This window comes from Homo sapiens, chromosome 19 (genome assembly GCF_000001405.40).
Source record: "Homo sapiens chromosome 19, GRCh38.p14 Primary Assembly".
NCBI classification, from domain to species: domain Eukaryota; kingdom Metazoa; phylum Chordata; class Mammalia; order Primates; family Hominidae; genus Homo; species Homo sapiens.
The window spans coordinates 28,721,961-28,744,762 of record NC_000019.10 but is presented as its reverse complement, the minus strand read 5'-3'; the positions used below and the strand labels follow the sequence as shown (position 1 = coordinate 28,744,762).

The window sequence follows — 22,802 nt, the reverse complement described above, 5'->3', positions numbered from 1 at the left end:
TTTAAAAGGATCTTTCAAAGAAAGTATTTTAGATGAAAATGAATCTGTGGTATTGGGTTTTGTCTGATCTCTCACCACTAGGATAGTTCATTCCTAGATGGATAAGTCCACATTGTTAGGAAGGCTCATTCAGGTTGTGAATTCTCACATTCCATTGAGAAGAACAGAGAAATAAAATGGGGAAAAAAAGGAGGGAGGAAAGATCATAACAACAAAAAGGGAAAAGAATCCTGGAAAACTGATTTAGGACATATAAATAGGTTGTTATTTCTTCCTAAGTTGTTTAGCTTCAGTTCACAGTGCTTTGAGAAAAACACAGCTTTAATTTCTGGTGATTTCAAATTAGACAAATTAGAGGAAAAAAAAGAAAGGAAAAAATTAAAAACATTAGTTTGGAAAACTTGTAGCCAGGAAAACTTTAGGATTTGGTCCAAATTGTAGAAAATAATAAAAACTGAAAAAACAGTGAACAAGACTAGAATGTAATAACACATATACTATAGTTTCTTTTGAAAGATAATTTGTCTCTTTCAGTTCTCCATTTTTACCAAAGACAACTCATAGCAGGACTAATTTATTTGAAAAAAAAAATGTTTTAGTTTTATTATACTTGGCCTGATTATTTGCATAAATTCCAGCAAGAAAAACTATCCTCCATATAGGCTTCTTTTTAAAATTGGCTTTACTGGAACATTTTAATACAATAAATCTCAGGTTAGATTTTTTCAAACCATCAAGCCCAATTAACTCATTCCAGTTGATATTGTGTTGACAATTCTCATGAACACATTAACTTTTTAATTAGAGTCCTGGAAGTTATATTTTTCTATTCCAACAACACAGTCTCCAAAATTATCAGAAACCTGTGTTTAAGAGCACTCACTGAAGTTAAAAACTACTTTTTGAAAAGGATTAAAGTAATACAATATTTGTGGATGGCAAAATCTTAGAACTGTCATTGTTAGAGATACAATTGACAAGGAAATTTGATTATTTTGTAACATACAACAATTTAACATAATAATTATAATTATTACTGATAACATATACTCAAACATATTAGAACTGTAGGAATCATACGATTTTGAAGCACATACTAATAAGACATTTATATAAATATAACCCAAAGAAAGTTAAACACCTTCGTATATTTGACAATGCTTCCTGTATGATTTTATTATACCAAATAAGACAAATATGTCTTTGCTGGACTTCTAAAAAGTTAGTTTAAGGCCAAAAGACTGAATTTAGAATTTGATTTTGGAGCATTTGTCAAATAACAAAGGTTTAAAACACTTAAAATTGCAAAATGGCATTATATGTTACTGAAAATAAGTTATTCAGTTAGCCAAAGTGATAACTCAAAAATTTCAAAAAGGCAGAAACTTTTACTCTTAACATAGAAGAGACTCAGGTTCCCAAATAATAAGGTCTAATAAAGACACCATGAGGCCAGCTGGGTCTGTCTCTCTCTCTCCCCCTTCTTGTTTTTTTTTTTCTTTTTTTTTTTTTTTTGTAGTTTACTCAAAGGGCAAACAAAAACATTTTACTATTTCTTAATATTACACAAACGTTTTGTTCAAAAGAGAAAACTAAAAATTAAAATTTACCTTCATATAATGTATTACTAATATTTAAGCTAATATAAATAAGCCTTATGAACAAATCTAATTTTAGTCAGCTTGATAAGATATAATTTCCATAAATCTTTTATAAGCTTTTTTTTTTTTTTTTTTTTTTAAGTTAAGGAGCAGATTAATGCCTCAAGGAAACCTTGCTATTCCAACACAGGGACCTATATGCTGACCTTGCATCAATGTGCTTTTGATAAAAATGTTTAATTTACAGAGAAACTCTGAACTAATTTTGTCTCTCAAAATAAGCCCCTATAATCTTACATGCCCACCTCTTTCATAGTAGTCCCTGGGCTGAGAGAGATTGAATAAGTTTAATTTCTGGCCCTGTGTCTCACAAATGCATTTTAAATGTTCAAGATTTAACAGGAATTGGTGCCTTTTCAAGACCCAGGAGTCAAAGTCCTGTAACTTAACAGCACAAGGATTTTAAAATCAATACAGAATGTTATATAGGTGTAAAAGCCTTAATTTTTCTTTAAATCTCAGTTTTCCTAAGCAAATAAAAAATTTAATAATGATGACGTAGGAATTATCTCAATAAAACATAAGATCTGTTTCTTAGGCCAGTTACCAAAGTCGAAGGAAGACCCTCTGCAGTGATGGCTTCCACTTATGAGAAGCCTATTCAGATCACCTGGAATTCAAACCTGATGGAAAGAATACTCAAATTACTCCCAGTCATGAGTTAAGTTTTCCTGTTCATGAAACAATTTAGATATATTAAGAAAAAACAAGAGTGCAGAATCAAGTTATACTGGAGGAAACCACTGCCTTTGAGACCTTTAAGATAAAATATTTTTGCATCAGGCCTCAACAGCATTTAGAGTTATAGGGGGAAAAAAGTTACAAACACTGATGAAAAAGTTACAAAGAGAAAGTTATCCTCTCAGGCCTTCTCAAGAGGATAGAAAGCTGAAAGCAGCAAGACACAACAAAAGTTGAACTTCTCTGAGTTAAAAATCAAAACTTCTTATAATATTAAGAGCGTATTGATACCTTAAGGTCTAACACAGGGGACCAAAACTTGGAAAGAGTGCTATAAGTCATTTCAAAATTCTTCTTTTATTCAATAATAACACACTTTTTGGCTTCTTTTTTTCTTCAACTTTTATTTTAGGTTCAGGGGATACGTGTGCAGGTTTGTTACGTGGGTAAATTGCATGTCACTGAGGTTTGGGGTATGAATAATACCATCACCTAGTTAGTGAGCATAGCACCTGATAGGTAGTTTTTAAAACTTTGCCCCCCATCTAACCCTCTCTCCTCTTGTAGCAACCAGCGTCTGTTGTTCCCATCTTTATGTCCATGTGTACTCAATGTTCAGATCCCACTTATATGTGAAAACATGTGGTATTTGGTTTTCTCTTTCTACACTGTTTCACTAAGGATAATGGCCTCCAGTGGCAAAGGATATAATTTCATTATTTTCTATGGTGTGTAGTATTGCATGGTATATATTTACCATATTTTCTTTATCCAGTCCACTATTAATGGGCACCTTGGTTGATTCCCTGTCTCTGCTATGGTGAATGCTGGTGTGGGCATGCATTCTGGTAGAACAGTGTATGTTGCTCTGGGCATATACCCAACAAGGACATTGCTGGGTTGACTGGATAAAATTATCTAGTTTTTTTAAGAACAGAGACATAAAAGAAGTGAGGCCATCCCTGAAGAACACTAACATTTATGAGTCTGGTAGGCTCTGAGCTTTTCTTACTTTTTCTTTTTAAAAATACTTTTTTTTAGAGCAAATTTAAGTGGAGAGTACAGATAGTTCCCTTGTATTAATACATCCTCCGCAGCCTCCCTCATTATCAACATTGTCTGCCGGAGTGGTACGTTTGTTACAACTGAGTCTACATTGCCACATCATTATCACCTAAAGTTTATAATTTATATTAGGGTTCGGTCTTGATGTTGTACATTCTATAGGTTTTGACAAAGGTATACTGTAATTATATGTATCCAGTATTATAGCATCATACAAAAAATTTCACTACTCTAAAAATCCTCTCTACTCTGCCTATTCATCCCACTCTCTGCCCGTAACTCTCAGCAACCACTGATCTTTTTACTGTCTCCATAGTTTTGCCTTTTCCAGAATGACATGTAGTTGGAATTATACAGTATGCACACTCCATGATTCTACATATATGAAACCTAGTAAAGACAAATTTATAATGATAGCAGATCAATGTTTACCAGGGGCTGGAAACAGGGGTTTTAGGAGAAGGCGGTTGACTGGGAAGTGACACAAGGGACTCTTTTGGGATGATGAAAATATTTTATATCTTTGTTGTGGTGATGATTGTACAATTGTATATGTTTGTTGAAACTTTTAAAGTGTACACTTAAAGTGACTGCATTTTATTTATGTAAATTATAAGAATAAAGTTGATGTTAAAAAATAATAGAGATTTCCGCTCACTTTGCATTGTTTCCTCCAGTTGTAACATTTGAAAACTATAGTATAATATAGTATACATTAATATATACTATACTATAGTATATATATAATATACTATAATACAGTATAGCAGATACTATGTTGTGGCATAGTGTTATGCTGCCAAGGATACAGAGAAACTGGATCACTCCAACATTGCTGCTGGAAGTGTAAAATGGTACAACTACACTGAAAAGTAGTTTGTCACTTTCTTAACAAATAAAACCTGTAACTACCATGTGACCCACAACTGTTCTCCTGGGCATTTATCCCTGAGAAATGAAAATTATGCTCATTATACACTATAATATAGTATAATATAGTATCTATTATACCAGGATATTGACATTGATATAATCTACTGACCTTAATCCAATTTCCCTAATTTTGCTGTGCTCATTGTGTGTGTGGATTAAGTATTATATTATTTTAGAATCTGTATAAGTTCATGTCTTCAACACCACAGTTCAGATACTGGTCAGTTCCAGTATCACGAGGATCCCTTATGTTGTAATTTCATAAACACACCCTCCTTCTTTTTCTTCTTATCTACTCCCACCTCTTCCTCCCACTCTGGCTACCACTAATTACTCTTCTATTTCTAAAATTTTGTCATTTCAAAAATGTTATATAAATGGAATTATACAGTATGTAACCTTTTAGAAATGGCTTTTTTGCTCAGCAAAATTCACTGGAGAGTCGCCCAGTTTCTTATGTATAGCAATAGTTTGCTCTTCTTAATTGCTGAATATGGTGTGATGGTCAGTTTTAAGTGTCAATATGATTAAGCCATAGTACCCAGTTATTTAATTAAACACTAATATAGGTGTTGCTGTGAAGGTATTTTGTAGACATGGTTAACATCTATAATGAGTTGATTTTAAGTAAAAGATATTACTCTCAATAATGTCATGGGCCTCATATAAATAGTTGAAGGCCTTAATAGAAAAGACTAGTTTTCCAAAGAAAAAGAAATTTTGCCTCAAGACTTCAGCATCCACTCCTACCTGAGTTTTCAGTCTGCCTGTTTGGTCTACAAAGTTTAAAAATGCCAGCTCCTACAATTGTGTGAGCCAATTTCTAAAAATTTCCCCCTTCTCTCTCTCTCTCTCCCCCCACCCCCTCTATATATAATCTTTTTTTAAAATTTTATTATTATTATACTTTAAGTTTTAGGGTACATGTGCACAATGTGCAGGTTAGTTACATATGTATACATGTGCCATGCTGTTGTGCTGCACCCATTAACTCGTCATTTAGCATTAGGTATATCTCCTAAAGCTATCCCTCCCACCTCCCCCCACCCCACAACAGTCCCCAGAGTGTGATGTTCCCCTTCCTGTGTCCATGTGTTCTCATTGTTCAATTCCCACCTATGAGTGAGAATATGTGGTGTTCAGTTTTTGTTCTTGCGATAGTTTACTGAGAGTGATGATTTCCAATTTCATCTATGTCCCTACGAAGGACATGAACTCATCATGTTTTATGGCTGCATAGTATTCCATGGTGTATATGTGCCACATTTTCTTAATCCAGTCTATCATTGTTGGACATTTGGGTTGGTTCCAAGTCTTTGCTATTGTGAATAGTGCCGCAATAAACATACGTGTGCATGTGTCTTTATAGCAGCATGATTTATAGTCCTTTGGGTATATACCCAGTAAAGGGATGGCTGGGTCAAATGGTGTTTCTAGTTCTAGATCCCTGAGGAATCGCCACACTGACTTCCACAATGGTTGAACTAGTTTACAGTCCCACCAACATAATCTTATATTAATTCTCTTTCTCTGGAGAAGTCTAATTTATACACATGGCTTGAAGGCATCACAATTTGTCTGACAGTTCACCTATTGAAGGACGTCTGGGTTGTTTCCAGTTTAGGGCTATTATGACTAATGTTGCTATAAACATTAGTGTACAGGTGATTGTATAAACACAATTTTCATTTCTCAGGGATAAATGCCCAGGAATACAGTTATGTGTCTTATGGTACTTACATGTTTCATTTTTTTTAGAAAGCACCAAACTATTTTCCAGAGTGTTTGTACCATTTTACATTTCACCAGCAATGTTTGAGTAATCCAGTTTCTCTGTATCGCAGCATTATGCTACTTCTGCTAATTTTTATTCTAATCATTCTGATATGTGTGTAGTAATACCTCATTATGGTTTTAGTTATTTATTTGTTTGAGATAGAATCTCGCTGTGTCATCAAGGCTGGAGTGCAGTGGTGCGATCTCCGCTCACTGCAACCTCCGCCTCCCGGGTTCAAGTGATTCTCCTGCCTGAGCCTCCTGAGTAGCTGGGATTACAGGCGTGCACCACAATGCGCGGCTAATTTTTTCGTATTTTTATTAGAGATGGGGTTTCCCCCTTGTTGGCCAGGCTGGTCTTGTACTCCTGACCTCAGGTGATTCAGCAGCCTCAGCCTCCCAAAGTGCTGGGATTACAGGCGTGAGCCATCAGGTTTCATTTGTCATTTCCCTTATGTTAATGAAGTTGAACATTTTTCATGTACTTATTTGGCATCCTTATATCCTCTTCAGTGAAATGTCTATTTATGTTTTTTGCCTATTTGTCTTTCATTGTTTGTTGTTTTCAGAGTTCTGTGAGTGCTTTATATACTTTAGATAGTTGTCTTTGAGGGGTCACCGCTCTGGCTTGTCTGAACTCCATGTCTCCCATCCCTGTGTGAGTTGTGGTCATCGTTTAACTCTTGGCTCAGCCCATGCAGTTTCACCCTAGTAACATGTGGCTCAGTATTCAGAATCAGACTAGAGTGGCAACCTTCTAAACATTTCTCAAGCTCTTTTTGAAATCAGCTCTTTCTCTTGGTTCTTCTTTTTAAAAATTCCAGCCACTACTGTCTCTCCAAACTGATCTCTCTTTCCCTAACTCGGTGAGATGCTGTGCTCTGTTGAAACTCCCCCTTCCAGTTCTGCAGTCCAGAGGCGCCTGCAGGCAGAAAGCCAGGGGGATTACAGTACTCACAACTTTTGTTTGTCTTCTCTTAGGGATCACAGCCCTGCCGTGATCATTGTTTAAAAACTGTTGTTTCATATATTTTGTCTGGTTTTCTAGTTCCTTATAGTGGGAAGGTAAATTTAACTTCAGTTCCTCATCATAGCTAGAAGCAGACACACTGACCTGTGTTCTCTCCATAGGCCTGATAAAAACATAAACACTGGGTCGTGCAGGGCAGGACTTGGACTGAGAGGGCAGATCACTGGGCATTGGCACTTCTCTTCTTAACTTTCTTCAGAATTTTTCAGTTGTATCCTAGACTAGTTTCCTAGGATACATACATTCAGACATATGGAATTGAACACTTGACCTGCTTGTACAGGCTTGCAAAGACTAGAATATGAACATTAGTTTTACATGATGTGTACATACAAATTTTATATATAGTACTTTACAAAGTGTGCAAGATTTATTTTATTTTGAAAGTTTAAGCTGCCCTCTAGTGGAAAATACATGCCAAGATTTGGGCCTGGCTTTTCTTTGGTTTCGTTTTCATTATGGGAAGCCCTAGATACTCAAATCAGTAGCAGTGAGCTAGTATCTCTTCTCTCCCTGAAGCCGATGGGAGTTGTGGGCTACCTTTCTTTCTTATGGAAGGTGCTCAGGCCCACCCTGGGCCCATGTGGAGCTCTATACAGCTGCAGATAGAGAGACAAGCCTTACCCCAATGGGACCCCTCCTACAATCAGGGGCCCTCTTTCCCTTTCTCTGCTGTTCAGAATATGTGCTGTCTGTCTGGTCCATATTTGCTCTCTGAAATTGATTCACATGAATGTCCAATAATGACTTACAGTAGTACTTGTCTCCTAGGGAATCAAAGCCCTTAGCCACGCTGTTAGTTACCACCCGAAAGGCTGTTCCTGTTCTTAGGGAAGCTGTTGAGATATTTGCAGGCGGAAGAGGGTCACCAATACAATCAGCCTTCACTGACCCTGACTCGGGTAATGATGTCAATGTTGAATCTGCTTCCTGGAAGCATCTGGGCAGAAGCAGCCAGCATGGCCCCAGCCCTGGCTGCTAGACTCTAAACCCAAGTTATTCGGCTAATGACATTGTATTGTTATATATAAAAAGAACCATAGGCAAACCACTATCTGAAAGGTCCACTAGGGGTTAGAGACCATGTTGGTGATGAAAAGAGAATGCAAAGGAAGGAAGGAAGGAAGGGAAAACAAGCAGTAAATTAGAGAATCCGGTAATGATGAAGATGGCAGATGAGAGGCTTTCCGCATGCCACAGCCACAGGGAAATAGAAAAATAGTGCTTAAAGATCAACTCTGTGAATTTTCACTCAAGAAGGAAGACAGGAATTCACCAGACTAGTGAAGGACACACCAGACTCTGGGGAGGGAAAGACGCACAAGCAGCTTCCATGACAGCATTTGGCTGACCAGTGAGTAAAGCCCTTGTCTGCAAGGGTGGCAGCCTGTCTCCCTCTGTGTCTCATCCTTCTGCTAGGGGTCTGTGCAACCCAGGCCAAGACAGAGCACCCCTTTTTTCTCAAGCCCCGGAGCTAGCTTGGGGGAGGCTGAGAGATGGAGGGAGGGAAGACACTGGGAAAAGCTGCTGGCATTTTCCCAGACTTGGGACCGAGAGGATGATACTATTTTTAATCTGGGCTCATACCAAGGCAGTCATTGTGTGGCAACCTGGCAATAATGTCTTCTGCAGACATTTTAGTCTCAGGCCAGAGAGTAGACCATTTGCCCTGGAGCAGGGGAAGGGCCCCCACAGCCAGAATTGAGTGGTGAGTGTGGATACCACTCCAGGAGCAGGCAGTTAAATTAGACTCTCTTGTTACAGGGGGCTGCCGCAGGAGAAGTGCTGAAGAAGAGGTTTCTCCTTAGCAGGAGGACTTGCAGCCAAGGACAGCTTTATGATCTGGAACCAGTCAGTGTGTATCCTTGCTGGGTGCCCCAGTTTGCTCCCTTGATCAGCTGGCAAAGTGTGACCCACCAACTTTGAGGAGTGGAAGGGAGGCACCCTCCCCCTTACCTGCCCCGCACACCTGCGCTGGAGACCTAACCCTTGGTGAGGACAGCCTTTAAGGGAAGTAAGAACACAGCCTGTCAAAGCTTCCCTTGGGTCAAAGGAAATGGAAGCGCAGTGCCAACCACTGGAGGGGGTAACACCAAAGCCTACAAACAAACTTGGAGAGGAGGTCGTCTAATTGCCCCTGTTTCTCCTCAGTGCCTTGCTGTGGATGCAGCCATAGATCTTCCTGTTGGGTCCCGGGAAGCGTGGGCTGAAAGAGGCACTTCTCGAGCTTCTCAAGGGCCTCTACTTCTGCTGAAGAACAGCAGTGCTGGGGGAGGGTGCTCTCGTATGTCTCTATTGCCTCCACCCCTGCTGAGGGTGAGCACAGGCAAAGTGAGACCCTCCTGCTGGCTCTTGCCCTGAAGTGCCATCGACTTGACTGCAGTCTGAATTATAGCACCAAATGAAAACACATTGCTACACCAAGCAGTTTCCTAGAAAGCCACCATATGAATCTGTCTGCAACCAAGGAACCCAGGCCCTCTGATAGCTCTCAGACATAAAGCCAATTGATCATACACAACATAAACCACAGTCAAATTCTCAAAGGAAAAAACAATAAGAAATCAAAATGCCCCATCCAAATGGTAGCACATTTGAAAAATAAAGTGTCAACTTTCTCAGATGAGAAGAAATCAGCACAATAACTCCAGTAATACAAAAAGCCAGAGTGTTTTGTCACCTCCAAAGTATCTTACTAGCTCCCAAGAAGTGGATTCTAACCAAAAAGAAATGTCTGAAATGACAGAAATATAATTCAGAGTGTGAGTGGCAAAGAAACTCAACAAGATCTAAGAGAAAGTTGAAATCCAACACAAAGGAAACAGAAAAGTGATTCAGGATTTGAAAGACAACATAATTATGTTATGAAATAAACAGAACTTTTGGAATTGAAAATTTTAAAAATTCACTACAGGAACTTCAAAATACACTGAAAACCTTAGCAACAGGATAGACCAAGCAGATGAAAGAATCTCAGAGTTCAAAGATTGGTTCTTTGAATCAACCCCAACAAAAATAAAGACAAAAAATGTTTAATGAACAAAGCTTTTGAGAAACATGAGATTATGTAAAGCAATAAAAATCTAAGACATATTGGCACTCTTGAGAGAGAAGAAGAGAAAGTAAGCAGCTTGGAGAATATATTTGAGAATATAATTCAGGGAAGTTTCCCCAACTTTTCTGTAGAGGTCAACCTGCAGATATAAGAAATCCAGAGAACTCCTGCAAGATAACTATAAAAGACACCTATCCCCAAGGCGCGTAGTCAGACTATCCAAGGTCAGTGTGAAAGAAAAAAATCTTAAAGTCAGCTAAAGAAAAGGGTCATGTTAACTATGAGGGGAAACCCAGCAGATGAACAGCAGACTTCTCAGCAAAAACCTTGCAAGCCAGAATAGATTGAGGCCCATATTTAGCATCCTTAAAGAAAAGAAATGCCAGCCAAGAATTTTATATGCTGACAAACTAAGCTTCATAAAGCAGAAGTAAAGTCTTTCCCAGAAAAACAATAGCTGAGGGAATCTATCACCACCAGACCAGGCCTACAAGAGATGCTTAATGAAGTTCTAAACATGGAAATAAACTCACTACCAAACAAACAAGAACAACAAACAAACAAAAACAACTACTCACCAAAAAAAGCCCTGGACTACAGCTGAATTCTACCAGACACATAAAAAACAGCTAGTACCAATCCCACTGAAACTATTCAAACAAAATTGAAGAGGAGGGATTCTTTCCTAAAACATTCCATGAAACCAGTATCATCCTGATATCAAAATCTGGCAAAGACACAACCGAAAAATAAAATTACAGGCCAATATCCCTGATGAACATACATTCAAAAGTCCCCAACAGAATACTAGCAAACTAAATTTAGCAGCACATCAGAAACTTAGTTCACACATGATCAGATGGGCTTTACTTCTGGAATGCAAAGTTAGTTTAATGTATGCAAATTAATAAATGTGATTCAACTTATAAACAGAATTAAAAACAAAAACTATAGAATTATCTAATAGATGCAGAAAAAGCATTCGATAAAATCCAGCATTTGTTCATGATAAAAACCCTCAAATAACTAGTCATAAAAGGAACGTGCATCAAAATAATAAGAGCCATCTATGATAAAGCAACAGCCAACATCATATTGAATGGCCAAAAGCTGGGCCATTTCCCCTAGGAACTGGAACACAACAAGGATATTCAGTTTCACCACTTTTATTCAACACAGTACTGGATGTCCTAGCCAGAGCAATAAGGAAAGAGCAAGAAGTAAAAGGCATTAAAATAGGAAAAGAAGTAGTCATGTTTTCTCTCTTTACTGATTATATAATCCTGCACCTAAAAAAGCCCAAAGACTCCACCAAAAGCCCAAAGACTCTAGACCCAATAAATGACTTCAGTAAAGTTTCAGGACACAAAATCAACATACAAACATCAGTAACATATCTCTACACTAATAATGTTCAAGCCGATTACCAAGTAAAGACTGAAATCTTATTTACAATAGCCACACACAAAAAAATACCTAGTAATATATCTAACCAAGAAGGTGAAAGAGCTCTGCAAGGAGAATTACAAAACATTGCTGAAAGAAAGCATAAATGACACAAACAAATGGAAAACATTCCATACTCATGGATTGGAAAAGTGGATATCATTAAAATAGCCATACTTCCCAAAGCAGCCTACATGGTTGCAAAAAAAAAAAAAGAGAGAGAACATTTATCCACTGTTGGTAGGAATGTTTGGCCACTTTGGGAAACAGTTTAGAGATTTCTCAAAGGACTAAATATAAAACAATCATTCAACCCAGCAGTCCTATTATTGGGTATATACCTAAAGGAAAAGAAATCATTCTACCTAAAAGACAACTGCACTCGTATGTTCATTGCAGCACTGTTCACAATAGGAAAGACATGGAATCAACCTAGGTGCCTATCAGTAGTGGACTGGATAAAGAAAATGTACTGCATATATACCATGGAATATTACACAGCAATAAAAAAGAATGAAATCATCCCCTTTGCAGCAGTATAAATGCAGCTGGAGGCCATTATCCTAAGCAAACTAATGCAGAAATAGAAATGCATATATTGCATGTTCTCACTTATAAGTGGGAGCAAAACATTGGGTTTACATGGACATAAAGATGAGAACAATAGACACTGGTTACTCCAGAAAGTGGAAGAAAAGGAGGAGGGCAAGGGTTGAAAAACTACCTATTGGGTACTGATATGGTTTGGCTCTGTGTCCCCATCCAAATCTCATGTGGAATTGTAATCTCCATGTGTCAAGAGAGGGAACTGGTGGGAGGTGGTTGGATCATAGGGGCAGATTTCCCTTTTCCTGTTCTCATGATAGTGTGTCCTCACAAGATCTGGTTGTTTAAAAGTATGTGCTGCTGCTGCCTCCTCCTCCTCCTCCTTCTCCACCTCCTCCTCCTCCTCCTCCTTCTTTCTCCTTCTCCTTCTTTCTCTCTCCCTCTCCTGCCACCATGTAAGATGTGACTTGCTTCCCCTTCGCCTTCCTCCATGATTGTAAGTTTCCTGAGGCCTCCCCAGTCATGCAGAACTGTGAGTCAATTAAACCTCTTTTCCTTATAAATTACATAGTCTCAAGTGGTTATTTATAGCAGTGCGAAAACTGAAAAATACAGGTACTGTGTTCACTATTTGGGTGTCAGGATCAATAGAAACCCAAACCTTAGCATCATGCAATATGTCCTTGCAAGAATCCCACATCTGTGCCCTTGAATCTAAAATTTAAAAGAAAAAGGACAGACACACACACAGATACAAACAGTATTAATTTAGTTTTTCCCTTTACTAAATCCGTCCTAGTGGTAGGTGCCAGCAACGCAATAAGGAACATGACACGTTTCTTGCCTTCAAAGAGTGCACAGCCTCTGTGACAATGCACCATGCAGACTAGGTCTTAGATGTCTCAAACTGGTGGTCTGCAGATAGGTTTTATTTGGTGGGCATACTGTTTGAATTTTTAAAAACTAGATGTTAACATTTTAATATGGAAATTGTCTCACTACATTTAGCTTTATGGCTTCTCTTGGAAGGCCCACGTGGCAACATTGGCTCATCTCCTGCCCACTGGAGAAAGAGCAGCACTCACTTCTCTGCTTTGTGTCTTTGGTCTAGACTTTCGATATTTAAGTTTGAGACCCCTAGACCAGGAGCAGCAAGAGGAGAGCAGTCAATTCTGAAGGGCTGGGGCAGGTGGAGGCTTGAGTGTGACTTCCTAGATGCTGCCCCAGCAGCCCTAGGGGAGATGGTGGCGGCCCACACAGGCCGTGGTTGGGGAGTGGGACATGGTGAGAGACATCTAAACTGGAGGATGGGCTGTGCTTAGGTGTGGCTTTGCAGCATTGTGGAGGTGGAGGTGAACCACAGGTAAGAACCCCAGGTCAAGTTTTCCAGCAGGAATATGAAAATTAAACAGCCTCAGGAAAGACATGAGTTCTGAAGGCCTTTGCATCAAATGTGAATGATGTCACTTGGGGACTGTGGAACTTGTTGAACACAGATTCTGATCCAGCAGCTCTGGGGGATGGGTTGGGGAGGGAGGGAGGGGCTCTGTATTTCTAACAATCTCCTGGTCCCTGGACTACATTTTCAGTAGTTGGAGCTTGGAACAGAAATTGCAATCTGGTGGGCCATGGGCCAATTTGGCCCAGGAAGTGAAGTTTTTCTGGCTTACATGGTATTTAATTTTTTTAAAAATTAGTTGCTAACAGTTTAAAATCAAGTGTTTTGCATAAAATCTGAATTTGTTCCCCCTTCATTTTCTGTCACATCATTGAATTTCTTTTATTTTTTGCATTTTTTATAATTGAAATTTGCTTGTGAATTGATTTTTTTTTTTTTTACTTTTTCATCATGTGCAGGCTGGGATGTTGGCTGTCTTATTTGCCCTGTTACCCTAGAATGTAGAACAATGTCTGGCCCACAGTCTATTCTATATATATATTTATTATTTGACAAATAAATGAGCAAATCTACTTTCTTGCATGAATCACCATAACCTGTACTAGGACTTCTGTAGTATATGCCCCTGGGAATCACCTAGGTTTAGAGAATCTGAGAGACAGGAAGAAAAACAAGGGCAAGAAAGAGTACAGTAGTGCCCCCTTATCCTTGGGAACACTACTGTACTCCCACTGTGCTGTTCCAAGACCCCCAGTGAATGCCTGAAATTACAAATAGTACCAAACCCACCAAACCCTGTATATACTATACTATGCTTTTTTGATCTGATAATTGAGATGGCCACTGAGTGATATTGGGGCCCAGAAACTGATACCCCAAACCACAGTGCTTTGTCATGGTGAGCTGAAGAAGCAGCCTCAAGGTCTCTCTGACCTTCACTATCCTGTCTTCCAATCCTCTGTCTCTCACAAAGCACAGATGAAGTTCTCTGAAGTTCCTTTTTCTGCCTAAAGTCTGACCCACCAAAGAAGGAAACAATTACCTTGGGTTTCTTCCCTGAATTTTAATTAACTGAATGTATATTGCAGGAAGAAAGACGGGAGTTTTTCAATACCCCTGGACGGACTTTTGTCATAAACCATTGTCTGCTCTGTGGGCTCAACAGACTTTGTCCCAGGTCATTGTATGTTCTTTAAGCCCATGGAATTCTCCCCTCATACCCCTCAATCATCCACACTTCCTCACCTCCCTTTGCCCTAAGAAGAAGGGTGTACAACCACCTCTACCCCACTGCCTGGTGCGGTCATCCTGTGTGATATCCCCAACCCCGTGCATGTGAATACATTTGTATGCCTTTTCTCTTATTAATCTGCCTTTTGTTGGTTGATTTTCAACAAACCTTCAAGGGTAAAGGAGAAGTTTTCCTTCGGCCTTGACAGTGACTACCAGATGGGTAGCGTATACAGTGTGGGCACTTGTGGACAAAGGAATGAGTCTTGCTACTCAGAACAGCTCACAATTTGAAACTTATCATTTATTTCTGGAATTTTTCATTCAATCCTTTCAGACCACAGTTCACCCAGGTACTGTAGTCAGAGAACTAGACTGGAGATCAAGGGAGAGGACGCAGAGGGCAAGGGAGGAAAGAGCACAGGTGGGTGGTCAGCCAGGTCAGTGCTGTGGGGTGGAAGTTGGGGGCCTCAGGAGGGGCTGCTGGCCTTCAAGAAAGCAGGAGAGGGAGGCACTGTACTGAAAAGTCTGGGGCTACCAAGAAGGGAAGCAAAAGGGCAGTTTCTCAGGGTTGAAGTTGGGCTTTGGGAAGGTTTTAGGGGGAGCGCAGGTATTTGTGAGCCCATGTTTAAACACAGTAAGGACCCAGTAGTGATAAAAAGAGCAAAGATATAAAAAAGATGGAATAGCAGTAGGTGATGTCCACCTTAGGGCGAGTAGAAGGTTATGATAGGCTACAAGGGAAGAGATTGAAAAGGAGGAAGAAGAAAAATCCTTTCTTTAGGATATGGAGGGGCAGGGAAAGAAAACTCACAAGACATATGTGCTTCTAACAGGTCTCCACTTAGGGAGAGACTCTAAAAACCTCTGATAGAATCTGAACAAGTAGGGAATATGTGGTGACACCGGTGTGGAAATGAGAAGGGCTGTGTCTAGCAAATGTATCCCATGTAATCAATAGTTTCTCCTTTATGGAGTTTGCAATAGCATTGGTATTCTGTCTGACCCTGTTGCCTCCTGTTTCTTTCAAATAATTTTCTAGAAGCACTGGTTTGAGTAATATCTTGATGTTTGAAGAAATATTTGGTAATTGAATAAGAAGAGAGCTGTGTTGTCTAAAGTGATGATGAAAATGGGTAAGGAGAAATGCTGCCACTTGTGAGGTTTATGGGCGGGAGGGTTAAACGGGAAAATTATGAAAAAGCTACCTTAGTCCTCAAGGCCCGTTGTTAGTCCTAATTTTATTGTTTTGTGTTTTCACCTTATGGTGCTCAATAAATATTTGTTCAGTGAACAAATAAATGTAAGGTCAGACTCTGCACACAAGTCAAAGAAATCTTGTTTCCTGGCAAAGCTAGCTGAATTAAGTGCAGGTTTCCACAATCACCTCTCCTGGCTCCGTTTTATTTCAGCTGTAGGGGATCTGAGAGACTGTAGCCCAGGTTTTCCGTCAAAGCATTAAGTGGAAATATTTCCCTACGAGAAGGCTGCCCTGGGTGTCATGTCCAGGCTCCTGGCCTCCTGTGGACTCACCCCGCCTGGTGTCCTGGTGACCTGGGCCATCTCAGGTTGCTCTCATCAGCCTGGCAAGTGAGGGCCTGACAGAGGCACTAAAGGGTTTCTTCTGGAGTCTGGCTGATTTCACCTCCTGGCTTTGCCTAGTTAGATCGGAGAAGTCACTTCACTTCTCGTTGTCTCTATTAGTTCTCTGTAAAATGGGTATAATAATAGTTCCTCTCTCACGGGATGGTTTTTGAAGATTAAATAAGGTAATTCAGGTAAAGCATGCAGAAGGGTGTCTCGCACACAGTACTCGGTAGATGTTAGCCATTATTATTGGAAGCTACAGCTGCCTTTGATCAATAATAAAAACAAATACTACATTTGACATTCTTTGAAAATACACTGTGTGTGTGCCAGCATCCTGGCACAGGTGAGGTGCGCCTGAAAGGGGAAATGATTTGCCCAAGGCAGTGCCCCTAGGAATGGCCGAAGTCCGTCTAAACACCATGTCTTCTGACTCTCAATCCAGTGTCTTTCCCACTCTCCCTCATTTCCAGGCATGGCTTGCTCGTTTTTCAAAAATCATCTCCAAGGATGTCCCAGTTCAACTTCGCCCCAGTTGCTCCAGCGCAGCCCCACGCCAGAACTTGAGCGAGAGCAGCGGTCCGCCTGCCGGGAGGGGGCGCTTGGCGGGGCGGCGGGGCGGGGCTCTCACCGGTACGAGCTCGGCCGCCCGTCCAATCAGAGGCGCCGCGCCGTCCGCGGGAATTTGAAGTGCCTGACTGGGTGGCCGGGAGACGGAGTCTCGGGGTCGCGTGCACCTGGGCGGCCAGGGAGGCTCCAGTGCCCGGGAGAAAGGTGAGCGCCCGCCGGGCCGGGCCAGGAGCCGCTCCCTAGTGAGGCCTGGGCGTCCGGCCCCTCGGGGGGCGCCCGGGCCGGGGCCTTGGGACTCGGCGGGCCAGGACGTCGGGGTCGGGAAGGACCCGGGGCGGGGCTTCCCTCTCTGCCTCAGCTTCCCCGAGACTGCAGAGAGTTGGGCTGCGCCAGGGGCTCCCCACCTGGGTGGGCTTCAAGGAACTGCCGCGAGCCGTGGAGCGAGGGCTCCGCTTTTCCAGCTCCATCTCCGCGGAGATCTGAGCCATTCGCTCTCCCGAAGATAAAGGCAGCTGGAACCCTGGGCCCACGCAGCTGTCCTGATCGTCCGGGGCAGAGCGACCCCAAGTCGGGCGAGCAGCCTGCGGACGGGGTCCAGAAATGGAACCGGGTCCCCTTGTTCTCGGTCCTTTCTGCCTCCTCACTCCTCAGGTAGATTCCTTCCCCCCGCTTCCGTTCCCCCGCCCCCGACATTTTAAACTGGGTCACGTTTTTACTTTAACACGTTCAGTTGTATCGTGTAGTGGAAAGAGCCGCTGCGAAGTGAAAAGGCCTAAGTGTGACTTAATTCCACCACTGACCCACCTTTCCAACTAGCAAAAGTCGCCGGGCCGCAGTTTTCCCATCTAAAGACGGAGCCAGTGGCTGTCCTTGTGGTGAAGACGCAGTGAAACACTGTGCGAAGGGGAATATTTTTAAAGTGGCTGTAAATAAAGAAAAATTCTAAATAATATCACCTATGTGGAAAATAAAGCAGAACTGAGAGAAAAAGAGCAGCGTAGTGGTTGCTAGGGGCTGCAAGTGGGAGAAATGGGGAAGATGTGGGTCAAAGAGTACAAAGTTGAGTAAGTTCTGGGGATCTAGTGTGCAGCTTGGTAACTGTAGTTAATGACACTACTGTGTACTTGAAATTTGCCGAGAGTGAGACGTGTTCTCAGCGCACAAATGCGAGGTGATGGAAATGTTAATTTGCTTTATGGTGGCAATCATTTCATAATGTATATCAAAACATCACATTGTACCCCTTAGATTATACAATATTTTTATTTACTTCAGTAAAGCTGGAAAAACAAAATAGCTGTAAAGAGTGGTGCCGAAGTAAGGTATATTTAACAAATATACATATATACTGTGTAATTGGCACTGTAGTAAATGGTTAACAAGTAATTTCTTTAATTCTCTTAATTTAATTGAAGTAAGCATACTATTTTTATCTTCTCTTTATAGGCAAGAAAACTGAGGCACAGAGAGATTGTCACACAGCCAGTAAGGTGTTGATGCCCTCTAAGGCTCATGCGTGTCAGTGTTTGTGAACAGTAGTAGACCCTTGCCTGCTTTGATCGTCTCATGTGTGGGATCAAGTAATTCTGGGGGCCTGAGCTGGGACAAAGGAATGGAAGGAAGGAGAAAGGGAAAGGAGAAAATCAAAGGTGGTGGAGGAAGAAAGACTGCTGCTAATTACCGTCTCAGACACCTTCCTTGAAACCACCTTCGGAAACTACTCTGCCAGTCTAAGTGCTACCCTCAGCATTGCTTATTTAGTGGTCATTTCGGTTTTTGTTTTTTTTTTTTTGAGACAGAGTCTCGCTCTGTCGCCCAGGCTGGAGTGCAGTGGCATGATCTTGGCTCATTGCAAGCTCCGTCTCCCAGGTTCACGCCATTCTCCTGCCTCAGCCTCTCAAGTAGCTGGGACTACAGGCGCCCGCCACCACGCCCAGCTAATTTTTTGTATTTTTAGTAGAGGCGGGGTTTCACCGTGTTAGCCAGGATGGTCTCGATCTCCTGACCTCATGATCCGCCCGCCTCGGCCTCCCAAAGTGCTGGGATTACAGGCGTGAGCCACCGTTCCCAGCCGTCATTTCGTTTTTTAAAAACATCTTATTACACAGAATTAGATACGCCACTGGCTGAATCATGCCTTATGAAACATAATTACATACAGCCCAAACCTAATGTGATTTGCATTTTCTGATCTTTTCCTTAGACACAGTCATTGAAATTAATGAGGAGGAACCTAGTAGTCTTAGTGAAGTAAACCTTATGCATTATTAAGAATCTCTCATCCCTGTTTATTGAGGAGCCATTGGCAGACTGATATTGTAGAAAATAAAGAGAGGCTTCAGCCCGTTGGAGAGGGAGTATAGGAAATCAGCTCTCTCTTTTAATGCTGCTTTGTGGAAGTGTTTGGGAGAAAAAAAAATAACAGATACTTGACTGTTATAACTTACTAACTATAGTAAAGATAGTTACTTCTAGGGAGAAGAACTTAGGTGGTTTCCACTGGATTAAAAAACAACCTTATTTCTCTGCTTTCCTCCAAATCCCCACATAACAACAAAAACCTAACTTGTGAAAGATCTTAAGCTCTTACTGTTTTTAAGTAGAACTTGGATTTTCAGATATTTTTTAAGTTCGTAAAGCTGTTTCTTCTGACAATAATAGAGATAAATAGAGCATTCATACTCAAATCCTTGTTGGTTTGGAATTTCAAGCAAGGATGTGAAGACAGAAGCACTCTACGAGCACTGGAAGTATCTGGGATACTTGTGCCTGCTTATCGTTTTTGTTTTTTTAGGTTTCTTTCAAAATGAAGATTCACGCAGTGATTGTAACTGTCTTGATGAGCCAGGTTGTAGTTTACAAAGTTTTATTCCAGAAGGAAAAAAGCCACTTCACCTAGAAATTTTGCAAACAAATCAACTTTTACTCTGTGAGTAATCCAGGGCCTATCAAGACTACATTTTAGGTGAGTAGGTTCTCTTTTTTGTTTCTTTTCTGCTTTTTTTTTTTTTTTTTTTTTTTTTTGGTGATAGAGTCTTGCTTTGTCACCGAGGCTGGAGGGCAGTGGCACGATCTTGGCTCACTGCGACCTCTGCTTCTTGGCTCAAGCCATCCTCCCACCTCAGCCTCTTGAGCAGCTGGGACTACAGGCATGCACCACTACACCTGGCTAATTTTTGTATTTTTTCTAAAGAGAGGGTTTTGCCGTGTTGCCCAGGCTGGTCTTGAACTCCTGAGCTCTAGTGATCTGCCCACCTCGGCCTCCCAAAGTGCTGGGATTACACACGTGAGCCACCGTGCCTGTCCTTTTTTGCTCCTTTTATCTTTTTAGTTTATAAGCAGACTGCCTATCTCAGTCCCTCAGATTGCCAGTTGTTGGTTCTGAGAAAATGGATTTAAGTGGATTTATTAACTTCCCTCTGCTTTATGCATTCTCACTTCTTCCTGTGTTTAATTTGTTTGTAGTTGACTGCAAGGCCTCTGAGGCACGGGAATTCACAGCTGAGTTCTTGGAGAAGGTCCTTGAGCCATCTGGATGGCGGACAGTCTGGCACATGATGTGCTCAAGGTGCTGCTTGAGGTAAAGTTAATTTTGTTGTTAAGACATTTGTCTCAAGCTATAAGCACTTTACTTCAGACTCTTAGAGCCAAAGTGCTTATTTTTAATTAAAGTTTATGAGCTGATTGAAATAGCATGTTTTTCACATCTAATTGCTATGGTGTAGGAAGTGTTCCGCAAATTTTAAAGGCAGCTGAGGAGGAGCTACCAGGGAATTAAAGTGGCTTAAGTTTCAGCGTCCTTTGACAAGGGGAACTGGATTATAAACCTATGAAGTGGAGGAAGTATTTGAGATCATTTAAAAAATGAGGAGGCCTAATTATGAAGTCAACAGTTTCCATTAATTTTTTACCTTCTTAGTTGTAGCCCATTAAGTAACTCAAACCAAAGAGGCATTTTAAAACTATCCCATTTTTGCCTAGTAAATTTGTAGATATGTGGTTAATCTTTTGATAATGTGTCTCATTGCAGAAAGTAAAAACAATCTTATTTTTCAACTGACTGGGCCTTTTACATTAAATTTGCACTCCAATTACAGCTGTGAATTTTTCTCAGTGTTTGTTAACTGAACCACAAAAAGTCCTGTTAAGCTAAAATGTTAAACCAGGGGGTGTGTATACAAGTTGTTGCTGCAGCTCCTTTAGAAAATGGCATTGCATACTGCAGTGATTATGAACGAGGCAGTGGGTTGCAGCTGTTCCTTGTGAGTTTTTAAGTTTTGGATTATGCTGATATCTTCAGTTGAAGTTCTGGCCTTTTCATTGGGTTATGATAGTGCCCACCCCTCCTGCCCCCATCACTTCTCTAAAAGCAGTCAAAGTCATTGTTTTAAAAGAGAAGTGTACAATTTCTCTGCTTAAAACTACTAATGCATTGCATTTACCGAGGGTCCCGTGTTGGCTTTATGGCTTCTCATGGTGCTGGAGAACATGTAAAATCCAAGCGCCAGATGCTCTATATGTCCTGGTCTTTTTGCCTTTCTCTCCTACCTCATCACTTACTGTTTCTCCCCTGCTCCCAGTTTCCTCCCTTTGGCTCTAGCAAGAAGGACTGCCTTTCTGCTCTTTCAGTGGCCAAGCCCCTCTCGACCACAGGCCTTTTGCGTCTTCCCTGCTCTTTGGATGGCTGCTTCCTTTTCATTCTCAGCGCAGAGGTGACTTCGCCTGGCCATCCCAGCAAAACCAGATCACCACCCCTGCTAGTTACTCTCTGTCACCTACTCATCACTATCTTGTTTATTTACCCCCTTGATTACAATGTAAGTTCCATGAGCTAAAAGCCAGGCCTCTCATGTTTATCCTTTATGGAAGGATAGGCTTCCATAATGGAAGAAGCATCCCTGCCCCTATTGCATGCTTTAAAAAAATCAGGCTGTCAGTAGTGTTTTATACGTGGAGCTTAATTTTGATTTCCACGTGTTAAGTCACATTATTTTACATTTTAGGCCACAGATGTGGACATTTCAGCCTTGAAGGCAGTGGTGCAGCTTGCTGAGCCATACCTCTGTGAATCTTGAGCGAGTACTTTCACCTTGGAGTGTGTGAAAGAGCTCCTCGAGCTGAAGGAACATCAGTTGCCCCTGAAGGAGCTGGGTGGTGTTTGATGATTCTGGAGACAGCACTTGTAACTTGTAACTGAGCATGTCAGCTAGGAAGGTAAGTTGATAAAAATAACTTTGTGGCCAGAAATTTTGGATGAATTGAAGTAATTCTGGTCTGTGTTAGACCCAGCTTTAAAATTCAAACTGTAAACTTGGTCATGGCAATATTTTAAAATATTCAATGATAGGATAATCTTTTTAAATTAAAAAAAAGTTTTAAATCATTTGGGATAATTTCAAACTCACAGAAAAGTTAACAAAAATAGTACAGTACAAAGCATTCCTGTTTGTCTTTTACCTGGTATCCCCAAATGTTAACAAAAGGTAGGGGATTCTTAATTTGGTTTGTGTATATTTAGAAACTGACTTAAAAGTTATGGATGCTAAGGCTTATGGTTGGTATATTTGAGTCTAAAAGGACAGAAAGAGGAAAGGAAGGAAAGCAAAGAAGTTTGTGTACCATGATGATGATGTATGCACTGATTAAACTAATACACATTTTCTTCAAGGAGGTATCTGGTCAGAGAAGGTGTTTTCTGAGGCTGCTTCCTGGATCCCTAGGGTTTGTGTTCCTGCCATTCAGCCTATTTGGCAGTTATTTCCACCTGTACAAACAGACCCTTTGTCCCTTACATGAGAAAGAAAGCCCACACCTGGATTCATA

At 40.9% G+C, this 22,802-nt stretch overlaps 1 pseudogene across 1 annotated transcript in view; it reads left to right on the top strand.

Annotated features, from left to right (window-relative positions):
- The first annotated feature begins 17,068 nt into the window (after positions 1-17,068).
- Positions 17,069-22,802, top strand: part of LOC100420587 (SHC binding and spindle associated 1 pseudogene) — a 292,307-nt pseudogene continuing 286,573 nt past the window's right edge. Inside the window, exons 1-5 of the transcript NR_110759.1 lie at positions 17,069-17,183; positions 18,426-18,469; positions 19,774-19,944; positions 20,445-20,559; positions 21,983-22,193. The product of NR_110759.1 is annotated as an SHC binding and spindle associated 1 pseudogene (transcript). The remainder of the gene's footprint in view (positions 17,184-18,425; positions 18,470-19,773; positions 19,945-20,444; positions 20,560-21,982; positions 22,194-22,802) is intronic.